Source organism: Homo sapiens, chromosome 1, assembly GCF_000001405.40.
Source record: "Homo sapiens chromosome 1, GRCh38.p14 Primary Assembly".
In the NCBI taxonomy this organism is placed as follows: Eukaryota; Metazoa; Chordata; class Mammalia; order Primates; family Hominidae; genus Homo; species Homo sapiens.
The window spans coordinates 116180202-116195591 of NC_000001.11; positions in this window are offsets into that span (position 1 = coordinate 116180202).

Genomic DNA, 15390 nt, shown 5'->3' on the forward strand with positions numbered 1-15390 from the left:
GGTAATTGGGAATATGACTGCTTCTAGGTAAGAGAGCAGAAACTGTAGATTGTCAGCAATTTGAGGCTGATGTATCTTTCTACCTCCTCCCCCAACCATCACTCCAGTGCATATTAGACAAGGGTGGGAAACCATAAATTAGTAAAGCTGGCAGAGAGATGTGTAGCAAGGAGAGATAAGTGACAAGAAAAGGATTTCTAATGTTGGCAATGCTCCCTCTGAACTTTTACATTTTTTAGTGTATTTTAATTTGTCCGGCTCTTTCATACACTTTACCTCATATATTCTTCACAATCCTATAAGGTATAATTCACCTCTGAGGAAACTATAGTTGAGAGAGTTTGGGCATTGGCTTACTTAAGGCATGGTCTTTAAGTAGCAGAGCCAAGACTGAGATCCAGGTATTTTTAACCAAAGTGTCTGTCCATGTATTCAGTAAACAAGTTTTGAATGTACTGAATATCATGCACTGTGAAATAATATGAATAAAATGTGGTTTATGTCCTCTGGGTATCACCATCTAGTGCCATGGTTCCCATGCCTGTCTTATTGTTGGTTCCCTGCCAGAGATCTCTTTAATGCAGATTCTCAGGCCCAGGTGTGATGGATTGCATCGGATCTCTGGTGGGGGCAAACACTTTACGGGGCAAGGGCCATAGGCCAAGCTCCCTTCCTCACCTCTACCTGCTCTAACCCGGTTGGTCAACTGGGGAAAGGCCGACTCCAGACCCCAGAAGAAGCTCCTGAAGTCTTGTCCTGCAGGGGGGCAATTCTAGAATAGGATTTACAGTTTGGGCCTGTTAGGGAACCCCAGGTAGTCTCTAGATCCACTTTTGAACATCTGAATCTCTTGTTCCAGAAGCAGAATTCCTGCTGCAAATTTCTCACTCTGAGTTTGAATTTGGTATGGTGGAATAGGAAAATGAGAAAAGTTCGAGATTCCAAGGAAGAAGCTTCAGGTTTATGTAATAGTGAGCACATTACCTAACCTCTTTGAACTTTCATGTCGTCGTCTGAGGCAGACAATAATAGCCATGTTTCCCCCACCCCGCATTCCAAAAGAAGATTCATAGGAACCTGTGCAGCTGCCATCACACCAGGGAGTCCTGCCGCCCTCCCCATGCAGGTCTGCTTTGGTGTTGGGCAGTCATGGAGTGGCCTGCAGTGTGCTAGGTCAGGTAGACCAAGTTGTTGCCTGTGGATACTGGATTACCTTCTCAGAAAAACCAGCCTGTCCCAAAGCAAGTGCCCCGACATCTTGTAAGATGAAGACGAGCTTGCATTCTCTTCTGCAGTCAGTGTTGAAAGTGAACTCACTCTGCAGAGGAACACAACACGAAATTCACATTCAATCATTTAAACTCTCCTAGAGCTCAGTTTCCCAATGTATTTTGTTGACAAGTGATATTTGGGGGACAGTTTTAAGCTTGCAATCTGTCCTTATTTATGATTTCTTTGCTGTCCTCCCTTCAGAGTTTTGGTTTGGGTGACCCTCAGGTAAGTTCCCTGGAGTGTAATCTAAAGTCATCACCTCTTCTCCTCACCCAGGAGGGCAGAACCCCGCCCATCTCCTGTGGGCTCCCTCCATCCTCCTGAGCTCCGCGCACTCCCCTGCCAGACCACACCAATCTCAGGAGGTCACTTGGCTTTTTCTTTCTGGATAGGGGCTCGTCTCATTTCCATGGTTTCTTAACAGTTAGAAGTGCTTTCTATTTAATACTTAGATTTTAATTCCTTCAAATAGGCTTTGGAATTATTTATTTTGCTACTGATGAATCTTTCTTCTGGTCTAAAAGTATGAAACCCCTCCCTGTTTTGGGATTTACAGTCTGCCTGCTTTAGGTTCACAAACCTTTTCCATTAAAGGTTTTTCTCCTCTGCCAATATTTATTGCTGGAGTCACTGTTTGTCCAGAAGCTACTGTCTGCTGCATCTTCTGGGAAATGAAATTTATGTCTCCTGGCACTGATGGGGGTGACATCACCAAGTGGCATAAGCCCTGGGCCAAGCCTCCCAGTGGATGGCAAGCATGGGAGTGGGAGGGAATGGAGTGGGTTACATAAACAGACACCATCTACCTCTTCCTTTCCTGCCCCTCCCTGCACCATCCCACCCACCACTCATACTGATAGTATCATTATATGTTAATAGGATCTGTTAAAATTGACACCTGTCCTTAAAATTAGTACTAAGGGGCTGGGGTCAGTAGTGGAGAGGAGGGCAGGACCAAAGTGTCTGTTCAAAGGGCAATAGCTGTGCCTTCCTTTGTAGCAAGTCACCCTCATATGGGCCATGTGACACGTTTCCATAGCCTGTTGACAGCTGAGCTAACTAAGGCACAGTGATTCAGAATTTTGCTAGTTCATAGCAGAACCAAGTTGGAACCTAGCTCTTCAAACGCAGGTCTCTGCAGTGGCATGTGTCCTGAGAAGGTGTGATTGCAGCTCTCAGCCTCAGCCCCTCTCCCACCTGCCTTACATGAAAGTCGCCCCCAGGCTCCAACACAAGCTGGCCCACAATAGAGAGACAGAAAATGCCTGTGCAGCAGTTTGCTGGGTACATTTGGCCTCCGCCCACTCTCCTCTTTTCCCCTATTTTGCCAGCTTTCTCCTGGTTCTATTTTTTCCAAGGAGTCTTACTTAGTGCCATCTCTATATCCTCACCTCCCATTTGCTTCTCAACCTACTGCACTCTCCTCTGCTTTTGTCCTCCACACCCCACCTGAATTAACCAAGAATCTCCAACTGCCCAGCTCAATAGATAGCCTTGGGTCTAGGGCCAACGTGAGGAGTGTGGTATCCATGTAGTCGCACAGGACCCTGGACTCAGAAGAGCCCCATGTTTGGTTTAATGTTCCACCGTTGCTGCCTGAAATTCTTAGTAATTTTTGAACAAGAGATTTTGCATTCTCATATTGCACGGGACCTCACAAATTATGCAGTTGATCTTATTTGAGTCTTTAAAACATGAAACTTCTGTAACAGAAACCCAAGTTTTTTCAGTCACCCTTAGGGACCCCTTGATCTCAGGGAGAAGCCCTTCCTTAGCCTCAGAAGATGAATCTAAGTGACTAAAACAGTGATGGAATCTCAAGATTTCTGATCAGAAATTGATCTAGAGGTGATGATATGGTCTAGATCTCATAGAAGAAAGGAAAGCAAAACTTATTCTGGGTAAACCTTTGCATTTCTGTAGAAAATGGACTGACTCAGTTGGACTGCTCCTTACTCTTTTGCCTCTCCCCACTTTTCTTACTGTGGATGTGGGCACAATACCTGGAGGTGCAGCAGCCATTTCATGACACGAGGAAGAATCCAACATGTTACAAATGGAAAAGATAAAGCTAGGAGAAGCTGTTTCTCTCACGGCATTGTTGAGCACTGCCCCAGTCTTAGATTACCTCTCTCTGAACTTCTGTCATGCACAAAACACACATCAACAACCATCAAAAGCCCTTAAAGTCATTGCTGTGGATTTTTCTTTTTCACTACAGTTAAACGTTGTGTAAGTTCAATGACTTTTTGGGCAGAATTTACTACAATGTTGTGCATTCCCTCCACTTAAAACAGTCTTTCCTTGACACTCATGACGCTGTCTCAGCTGGGTTTTCTCATCATTTCTTCTCCTATTCCTCCTCCTCAGCTCAGTCCTTGATGGTGCTACCCTGAAGGATTTAGTGATTTTTTCTTTTATTCCTCCCTGGGCATCTATTGGGTACTCCTGTATGTTGGGCTTCACACTAAGTGCAGCAGTTGGAGCCATGAAGACAGGCTGTCCCATGGAGCTTGCGTTGTGTCCCCAGTTCACTGTCTCAACCATGGCCCACACACCTCCTGAGCAATCTCCTTTACTTCCCCAGCTTTAACTACATGTAGGGGTTTCATTCTGGGGTAGCGCTTCACATTGATGTACCTTATTCATCAACGGTCAACAAATCCTCCTGGAAAGAAAAGAAAGAAGAGACCGAACTGTCCTTGATGAGTCAGTCATGAAGTCATCTTTATTCCATATTTCCAGCCAAGATATGAACAGAAGACATAAAAGACCTGGTCATCTTTTATCACTCCTAAGCTCCAATTTTATTTTTCTACACTACTCAGCCATATTAGGGGGTTAAAGAGTAGTAAAGTCCCCTCACGGAATCCTGCCATATGTGGGAATTTTCTTTTATTTTCCATAAAATGTACTGAAAGATCCCATCGGATTTAAAAGTTATGGTACTGTCAGTGCTGCTAGCCCCTTACTCACATGCAAACCATGACAGAAAACAGTAAGACAGGCACCAGAAAGGGAATATGTGTCAAATTCCCCCAGAGCTCTAGCGAAAGAAGACTGCTACTATCGTTAATAGCATTTGTTTTTTAAAAATGTGCTTCATTTGGGGCTAGTTTAAAATGAAAGAGTTTAAAATAAAATGGCAACCCACTGATTTATGAGAATTTCACATAAGGATATAACCCAATTGACAGGAAGCAATTTATCCACAAAAATGATTATTATTTACTTATGATAACAAAACACTGAGAAGCAACTTTACTTATTGTTATCCGTGTAATTCACTACATTCTTACATTAGAGGAGAAAGACTGTATGATCATCTTGATTAATGCTTAAAAACCATGTGTTAAATGTCAAAGACTATTCCTAACAAAAGCTTTTAGTAAGCCAGGGATAAAAGGAAAGTTCTTAATTTGTTGATGATATGAACAAATGTTAACAAAAAACCCACAACAAACATTATACTAAACAAAGAAATGTAAGAAGCCTTTTCCTCAGAGTTTGGAAAAACACTCTACAGTACTTCAGAGTTGGGACTATGGTTACATGAGTGAGGAACTTACCTGAGGTGCAAAATTTGAGAAAGTGCCCATAAACTCAATAATCAGTAAAATAAATAACATTTTAATGCAATATTTTAAAAAATCCAATTTAAGGCAAAAAATCCCCGAAGAACAAAATATACACATATTAAAGACAGGATCAGTAAAACTGATTTCTCCTTTTGCTTCCAGCTCTGATGTGGCTCTAATACTCATTAAAATCTTTTTTGTCTTGACTGCAGAGCCTTTGGTGCCTCCCTAAGTTTTGTGCCTAAGGCCAGTGCCTCTCTCGCCTCATCTCAATTCTAGTCCTGTGGTATTTTTCAAGTTTTGGCTGATGTAACATGACAAAAATATGTGACAGCAGGCAAAAATACTGTAGAAGAGGCAAATCTATTATTACTTGTAAGTAAGCGCGTGCAGTGAGTCAAATCCTGACTTCAGCCATCACTGTGTAACCTTTGGCGTGTCACTTAAACTCTCAGCTGCAAACGGGGATAATAATAGTGACTACCTCATAAAGTGATTGCTGGAATTAAATGAGTTCATGTATGTACAGTGCTTAGAAGCCTGTCAGAGAGTAAGCACAATGTAGTTTTATCTATAACATTTGTCTACCTAGAATATCCAAGAAAAACAATTGAAAAACTATTAGAACCATTTCAGAAAACATAAAAACTAACAGCCTTTCTACACATGCACAGTGTCAAATTAATAAATACAGTGTAGAAAAAGATATCTACACACAGCAACTAGGATTATTAACAATGGGGGAATACCTTTATCAAGATATGTGCAAGATCTATCAAGCTATAGTCTTCTAGGGAAGATCATGAAGAAGACAGGAGTAAAAAGAGTGACATGGCAAATTTTTGCATAGAAGCTCTCAATATTGTAAAGAGACAGTGGTTTCCCCTAAGTTAGTCTATATTTAGTATAATCTAGATCAAAATTACAATAGAAGTTTCCAACCAATTTTGGAATCAATCAATTTTGGTTGATTCTAAAATTCATCTATTGTGTGCAGATAATCTCGTGCAAAGATTGTGTCAAGAAAATCTTGTGCTATGAGATCTTAAATATACTACAAATTTATGGTAATTAAAACAGTGTGGTGCTGGCACAGTAACAGGATAACTAAAAAGAAGGCACAGGAACATTTATGTATAGAAACTATCATTTAGCCATGGGAATTGGTATATGCTAGAAGTATCATTTCAAGCCACTGGGAAAGGATGAACAAGTCAGTGTGTGGCACTGGGACAGTTTGCTCTCCTTTCACAAAAAGAGTAAGTGAGATCCGCAGCTCACACCATACCCTGAAATAAATCACCAACCGATCAAAGGCCTAAGTGTAAAGTAAAAATAAGACATGAAAGTACTAGAACATACAAGAGAATTTAGTTTTCATTAATGTATGGAACAGTGGCACATGGAAAACATTAACTAAATACATGTTGAGCAAATACATTAAAAAATCTAGATGTGAGAAGGGCCTTTCTCCACAAAACACCAAATCCTAAAGCCATAAAGTAAAAAACTGACTATGTAATCTTAATGACTTATAATGAAAGAAATCCATAAATAAAGCTAGTTTTCAACCAACAGCCTGGGAGAGAAAACACTTTTACATTACCTAATATTCAAGAAAACTTATATGCAGTCTTAGTGAAAGCACTCCTATAAATTACTAGGAAAAAAAACAATCTAGAGAAAAATAGGCTACTCAGAAAAGAAGAAATGTAAATGTTCAATAAATGTATGAAAATATCTTCAACCTCAGTAATCAGAGAAGTGCAAATGAAAAGAAAATATTATTATCAACCTAAGATTGTTAATATTCATTGTAATTGTGGGCAAAGGAAAATGGTATTCTACTGAAGTGTTTCGTGTTTTGTTTTGTTTGTATTTATTTATTTATTTATTTATTTTAAGCTGGATTCTCACTCTGTTGCCCATGCTGGAGTGCAGAGTCACAATCTCAGCTCACTGCAACCTCTGCCCCCAGGTTCAAGCAATTCTCCCACCTCAGCCTCCCGAGCAGCTGGTATTACAGTCGTGCACCACCATGCCAAGGTAATTTTTGTATTTTTAGTAGAGCCAGGGTTTCATCATGTTGGCCAGGCTGGTCTCAAACTCCTGACCTCAGGTGATCTGCCCCCTTCAGCCTCCCAAAGTGCTGGATTACAGGCATGAGCCACCATGCCTGGCCTATTGTTCTATTTTTTGAAATGTTTTATTTTTAATTTTTGTGGGTACATAGTAGGCATATATATCCATGGGGTACATGAGATAATTTAATACAGGCATGCAATGTGTAATAATCACATCAGGGTAAATGAGGTATCTATCACCTCAAGCATTTATCCTTTGTGATATAAACATTCCAGTTATACTCTTTTAGTTATTTTAAAACATGCAATTAAATTATTACAGACAAAAGTCACCACGTTGTGCTAGCAAACACCTGATCTTATTCATTCTTTCTATTTTTTGCACCAATTAATCATCCCCACCTCCCCCTCCACTTTGTTCCACTACCCTTCCCAGCCTCTGGTAACCATCCTTCTATGCTCTATCTCCATGAGTTCAGTCATTTTAATTTTTAGCTCCCACAGATAAGTGAGAACGTGCAAAATTTGTCTTTCTGTGCCTGGCCTATTTCACTTAATTTAATGGTATTCCTTGGTTGTCTTTGCTTTCACCTGCCATTTCCCTCACCCTCTCAACCCTCAGCCCAGCATCTGAGAAAGGCCTAGAGTAGGAATTTATGTTTAACACGCATTTAATAGGCACCTAACTTGTATCGGCACTAAAAGCACAGTGATGCACACACTCCCAGCCTTTGTGAAGCTTACAGCTGGCTGATGGAGAACAACAATTAAACAAGCAATAACAATCAAGTGTGGTAAGTTCCATCCAGTTCCATTAATGTTGTTGTAAATGACAGGATCTCATTCTTTTTATGGCTGAATAGTACTCCATTGTGTATTTGAACCACATTTTCTCTATCCACTCATCTACTGATGAACACTTAGGTTGTTTCCCATCTTGGCTGTTGTGAACAGTGCTGCAGCAAGCATGGAAGTGCAGGTATCTCTTTGGTATATGGATTTCCTTTCTTTGGGGGATATACCTAGTAGTGGGATTGCTGGATTGTATGGTAGCTCTATTTTTAGTTTTTTGAGGAACCTCCAAACTGTTCTCTATAGTGGTTGTACTAATCTACATTCCCTTTTCCCCACATCCTTGCCAGCATTCATTATTGCCTGTTTTTTTGATACAAGCCATTTTAGCTGAGGTGACCTGATATCTCATTGTAGTTTTGATTTGCATTTCTCTGATGATCAGTGATGTGGAGCACCTTTTTCTATACCTATTTGCCATTTGTATGTCTTCTTTTGAGAAATGTCTATTCAGATATTTTGCCCATTTTTAATCAGATTATTAGATTCTTTCCTATAGAGTTGTTTGAGCTCCTTATATATTCTGATTATTAATCCCTTGTCAAACGGATAGTTTGCAAATATTTTCTCCCATTCTGTAGATTGTCTTTTCACTTTGTTGATTGTTTCTTTTGCTGTGCAGAAGCTTTTTAACTTGATGTGATCTCATTTGTCAATTTTTGGTTTGGTTTTCTGTACTTGTGAGGTATTACTCAAGAAATTTTTGCCTACTCCAAAGTGCTAGAGAGTTTCCCCCAATGTTTTCTTTTAGTAGTTTCATAGTTTGAGATCTTAGATTTAAGTCTTTAATACATTTTGATTTGATTTTTATATATGATGAGAGATAGAGGTCTAGTTTCATTCTTCTGCATATGTATATCCAGTTTTCTCAGCAGCATTTATTGAAGAGACTCCTTTCCCCAATGTATGTTTTTGGCACCTTTGTCAAAAATGAGTTCACTATAAATGTATGGATTTGTTTCTGAGTTCTGTGTTCTGTTCCAGTGGTTTATGAGTCTGTTTTTATGCCAGTACCATGCTTTTCGGTTATATAGTATAATTTGAAGTCAGGTAATGTGATTCTGCCAGTTTTATTCTTTTTGCTCAGGATAGCTTTGGCTACTCTGAGTCTTTTGGGGTTACATATGCATTTTAGGATAGTTTTTCTCTATTTCTGTGAAGAACGTTATTGGTATTTTGATAGGGATTGCATTGAATCTGTAAATTGCTTTGGGTAGTAAGGATATTTTAACAATATTTATTCTTCCAATCCATGAACATGGAATATCTTTCCATTGTTTTGTGTCCTCTTCAATTTCTTTCATAAATGCTTTACAGTTTTCATTACAGAGATCTTTCATTTATTTAGTTAAGTTTCCTAGGCATTTATTCTATTTGTAGCTATTGTAAATGGTGTTTTTTTAATTTCTTTTTCAGATTGTTTGTTATTGGCATATAGAAAGTTACTTTTTTGTATGTTGATTTTGTATCCTGCAACTTTACTGAATTTATCAGTTCTAATAGTTTTTTAGTTTAGTCTTTAGGTTTTTCCAAATATAAGATCATATCATCTGCAAACAAGGGTGATTTGACTTCTTCCTTTCTAATTTGAATGCCCTTTATTTCTTTCTCTTATCTTATTGTTCTATCTAGGACATTCTCTACTACAGTGTTGATTGGTGTTTAAATTGTTATAGCATTGAGGAAAAGGTATGGGGTGAGTCATTTGGCAGTACTGTACCTATCTAAATTCAAAAGTGCGTAACCTTTGACCCTTGCAATTCCACCTACAGGAATTTATACTTTAGAAATTTGACCTAATTGAAATGTGTGCATGCACACACACACGTGCATGCAAGGACGTTTACTTAAGTATTGCTTAATTTATTAAAAAATAGAAATAACCTAAATGATCTTCAATAAGAGAAAAATTTAATAAATGATGTTTCTCCTGATCTATTAACTATGATTCAGTGGTCAAAAAGAATGAAAAAGATATTATGGTACTGACATGGATAACTCTAAACAATACATTGAAAGTGAATAAAGGAAATTTCAGAACATTTAGTCTATTTTATTCCCTGTTGTATTCTCAGTGCCCAGAGCAGTCCTGGGCACATGGGATGGCTCAAAAGTATTTGTTGCGTGGATATGTGTAGTATGACCCCATTTATATGAATGGAATCATAGCAACTATAAAATCTTTCTCTCACATAAATACACTCGTTTTAAACCCAGGTTTTGGGGTAGTGTATGAAAAATAACAGCTCTGGGTTCAAATCCTAGTTGTCACTTACCAATTGATGGCTCTGAGAAAGTTATTTACCTTCTTTAAGACTCATGTTCCTCATTGGTAACTAAGGCTAATAATAATACTTCATACCTTATAAAGATACTGGGAAGATTCAAAGACAACTGTGTGTTCGTCACTCAAGAACACCTTCATCACCCAAAGCATACCTGATACTTTGCCGTTGCTCACTGAGTGGTTGTTATTTGTATTCTCAATCTCCCTATATTTTCTCTGTATCACATTGGCTACCTAGGAATCTTTTGGTGTGAAGTTAGAGATAACACATTCAGAGTTTTCTGAGATGTAAATGAACTTCACTGTGGCCTTCTGTGGGAGATTTTGCAGGACAATAACCCATCAATAGAGCCTTGGTTATCTTTGCCTTCACCTGCCATTTCCCTCATCCTCTTATCCCTCAGCCCAACATCTGAGAAGGGCCTATAGTAGGAGTTTATGTTTAGTACACATTTAATAGGCATCTGTCATGTATCAGCACTAAAAGTACAGTGATGCACACACTCTCAGCCTTTGTGGTGCTTACAACTGGCTGATGGAGAACAACAATTAAACAAGCAATAACAATAAAGTGTGGTAAGTGCTATGACTGGGTTGGCCATGAGGAGTTAGGAGAGCATTGGCATGGCTTCTGATCTAGCTTAGGAGATCAGAGGAAGTGAGGGCCAATCCCAAGCTTGAAAGCTGATTAGGAGCTAAAGGGGCAGGGAGGAGCTAAGGAGAAGAAAAGGGTTTCAGATGGGGATAACTAGTTATGAAAAGTCTTATTTGAGAATGTGAGAGAATTACAATATGGCTGGAGCTCTCAGACGAGAAGTGTGGTTTAGCAAGAAATAAAGCTAGCCCAGGCACAGTGGTACACACTTGTAATCTCAGCACTTTGGGAAGCCATGGCAGGTGAATTGCTTGACTCCAGGAGTTCAAGACCAGCCTGGGCAACATGGCGAAATCTTTCTCTGCAAAAGCTACAAAATTAGCTGGGTATGATGGTACAGGTCTGTAGTCCCAGCTACTCGGGAGGCTAAGGTGGGAGGATTCCTTGAGTCCAGGAGGTTGAGGTTGCAGTGAGCCGTGATAGCACCACTGCACTCCAGCATATGTGACAGAGTGAGACCCTGTATCCAAAAAAAAAAAGAAAGAAAGAAAAAGAGAAAGAAAGAAAGAAGGAGGAAAGGAAAGGAATAAAGAAAGAAAGAAGAAAGAAAAGAAAGAAGCAAGAAAGAAAAAAGAAAGAAACAGAGAGAGAGAAAGATAAAGAAAAAAAGAGAAAGAAAGAAGAAAGAAAGAAAGAGAAGGAAGAGAAAGAAAGCAAGCTAAAAAGTAGGCAAGGGACAGATTGTGAAGGGCTTTGTAAACCATGTTTAGGAGTTTGGAATTATTCCTGAGAGCAACAAGGAGCCTTCGAAGCAGGACAATGCCTGGATTAGGTTACTGTTTCAGAAAGACCGTTCTGGCTTTGCTGTAGGGAATGCAAGAAGCTAGAACTGCATTGGGGAAGACCAGTGAGGGGGCTGTTATGGTAGTACAGGGAGAAATGATGGCGATCTGGATTAGGGTGGTGGCAGGGGGATGTTGATGCATTTTAGAAATATTGAATAGGAATAATCAACAGGACTTGATGATTGATTAGATGTGGGAGATGAGAGAGAGGAAAGAACCAAGGATGACATCCAGACCTGTGACTTGTACAACTGGATTTTTGTAAGTTAGTCTTGTATCCAGCCACCTCGATGAATTTTCTTGTAGTTCTAAAGCTTATTGTACATTTGCTTAGATTTTCTAGGTAGACAATTATGTTGACTGCAAATAAGGATGGTTTAGGTTCCTCTCTTCATTTTTATTGATGTAGTATCAGTGAACGTCCAGTCAGGAAAAAAGAAACTGCTCTTGGTATTTCAAGCAAAGAGATGTAATAGATGAGATTAGGTGCTTACAAACTGGCTGGGAGTGTGGAGTGGTGAAAGTCAGGGGAGGCTGCTGCTAGATTTTAGGTTCACCATTGCAGTTGTTGCCTTTCACATCAAGAAGTTGCTGTTGCCATCCAGGTCAGGAAACTGACACTGATAGTCACAGCTGTCCTACAGCAGTGAACAGGGTAGGTGAGAGGGCTGGCTGCCTTGAGGATTTTATAAATCATTTCTGAGAGTGCCCAAGTATCTACAAGCCACTACCAGAGAGAAAAAGAGAGTCGTATAGCTTGCTTCTGACTCCCTCCCATCTCCAAATTGTAAGCAAGTGCATCTCATTGGCTGGATGATCATAGTAATGTGAAGGTAAAGGAGTGTGGGGCGAGTAGCTCCCAGGCTTCTAGCCCCAGTGATAAAGGGCAGGGATGGTAGAAATAACGGCGGCAAAAACAAGACAACAAAAACCAATATCCAGTGCAGTTTTGCCTTCATTTTCTGGGCCTACCTTTTGTGTGCAAGACACTCAAAACACTTTCAAATGAGTTAAACTCTCTAGGTTCTTCTCTCACCACTTCTCCCAGGTGCACTATGTTCTGGAAGACGCACAGAATGTCATGCAACTTTCTAAATGTATGTCCATGCCTTTGCCCTTGTGGTACCACCTAAAAGTTACCTTTCCTCTGCCTGTGAAGACTCTTCCTGTTCCTTCAGCGCCCATTCACTCCTTGCCCCCTTACCTGCATCAGGCAGGACTGATGCCTATCTTCACTATTTCCACTACACTGGGTTCACAGTTCTATAGCAGTAACTTGTCCCACTGAATTTTAATTTTGGTCAAAGTGCCCATCTTTCTCAGTAGACATAAGCATCCCAAGGTAAGTGACCAAGGCTTATTTTGTGTTTATGTCCCAAGCACCTGCTGCAGTGCTTGGAATATAACAGGTGCTCACTGAAGATTTCTTGAATGTGTGAAGGACTGTGGTATTACATGGTCACTCAGGGTGAGCACCTGAGATTATACGATGAGCAACTACCTTCAGAAATAGGCATGCCACTTGTTCCTGAAAGGGGGTTTGACAAGTGGTAGAATCATAGGACAAAAATTCATGGCAATGAGTTGCCTATTAATGCTAGCTTCAAGTTCTCAATTCTTACTTTTATTTATGTTGACTTTGTCCTTCCTTTTCTAAGCTTCTACTGTCTGTCCTTGCTTCTTCAGCTTGTAATGCTGCTTCCCTTTAAAATATAATTTCCATGCAACATTCTAGTTGCCCCCATCATATCAAATTAATGCAAAGGCTGCTTAAGCTGCTAGGAAAATATGGGTTATTACATGCTGCTGACAACAACACTGACAGTGATGTTGAAGCGGGGACAGAGAATACCTTTAAAAATTATTATTTATACAGAGCCAGGGAGCTCCAGAATTTGAAGTGTACTTAGCAATCCAGTTCTATTCTTTTAGTACCAATTTAAAATAAATGCTTACCATCAGCCAGTTGCTATCACTGGGAAGAAGGTAACTTGAAGTATTTACTGATAAATAGCCTTTATTCCCAATTGTGACTTTTCTTCAGTGTCTACATATTGTGTCACATGTTCTATTGACACTGCTGCAATATAGATCAAAGATCTTGTGGCATAGGGGTAAGGGAGTGTTAGAATCTCCCTTGTCCCATTTGTTCTGTTACTGCTTTATTGGACTGATCTACCCTCATGAACTTGCAATCACCTAAATGGAAGTTTTGAATGTGTCACTTTTTGTTTGGTTATTTCAACCATGCTGCTATATATAATCAGGTGTGGCACAGTTTGTCAGTTTGATTCTAGGTGTGAGTGAATACAAATCATTACACTATGCTGTTAACGATACTTGTCTGCTTGCCGTTACCTACTTTTTACAGACATCATAATAAAAGCTAGACTGTTTCTTGGGGGTGGGGGAAGAGATTCATTTAATGTAATTTAAGAACTTTTCCAATAGAAACTGAAATATTATTGAAAATAATATCTATTTTTTAGCTTGCAGCAATTGATGGCGCTTTGTTGTGGCGTCTGCTGAAAGTCTACTGCCATTATAGGGAACCTTGTTTGTTAGCTTCTCTAGATTTCTATTCTAAACAATCTGTAAGTGATGATAAATTCTGTAGGAGGGTCTATTCTGAGCTATTAACTTCCTGGAAGGGGAAAATGGGTGGGTTACCAGAAATACCATTGAAGCAGGGTGGGCTGTGGGTGGAGAGTTGGGTATTTGTCTTGAGAGTTAAAAACTACGAAACATTTTTGTACACAACTGATTTTTTAAAAAATAAACACATTTTTAAAGAAAAAAATAAATCCAATTCTTTTGTTTTATATAAAAATGGAGATTGAGAATTTCCCATGATTCCTTAGCACTATGAAAAATTGGTTAGCAAGCTCATCTAGTAAGCTCGTCTTCAGGTCAGGAGAGCTTCTGCAATGAATCCTCCAAGACTTCCTAGCCTCTACTATGGTGTTGGGGGAATAAAAAGTAATTCATCAAATGTTGTTAAATGGGTGTATGGGTAGCATTTCCCCAGGGTAATCAAGAAACTCTTTGTTTTTCTTCCTGGCAGATACTGCATACTGGCTGACTCAGCATCCATTCCTAACCTCATTTTCTCTCACCCACCTTGCTTATAAAGCTCAGGGAAGCTAAATATTTTCTCAGCCTCCCCTGCACTTGAAGTGACTATGTGACAGTTTTTGCCACTGAGAGGTAGGCAGCAGCCTGCATGAGCTTCCTGTGAAAGTTTTGCTTTTCTGATAGAGAGGACAAAAAAGGCAGGTGTTTTCTTTGCTCCTTTTCCTGCCCGGAGGGTGAATGTGTTGGCCGCACCTACATAAGCCTTCTTGTGCCCATAAGGGAAAGTCTGAGAGAATCACAGAGATGCTGGCCCTGACATTGTAAAGCTGTCAAGCCATCAACATCATCTACCTCCTGATTTCTTATTATGTCAGAAAAACAAGCCCCTATTTGTTGAAGCCACTGAACTTCTATTACTTGCTCCTAAGTGCTTTTCTAATATGTGCTTTATTCTAGCTGCAGAACCTTTCTAAGGTCATTGCCCAAAACAGGAAGGACAGGTTTATGTTTATCACATATAACAAATGTGGACATCATTACCATAATATTTATTTTGTAAGTTTAGTTTTGTAACGTTTTCTTGTCACCAAGTCAATCTATAAGAAAAATAAAAAGATTGCTTCAATGAATACATAAAATTTGAAAACAAGAGAGACCAATGACTGTTGAAGTCTTATATCAGCCTTATCATTCAGCATGTTTCTTGATTTTGCTTTGGTTGCACAGTTATTGAGAAAGCCTAATTCATGCATATGAGTAGTTGCAAATAGAAGAGTTAGTATGCCCTGCAATTACAGGTCAG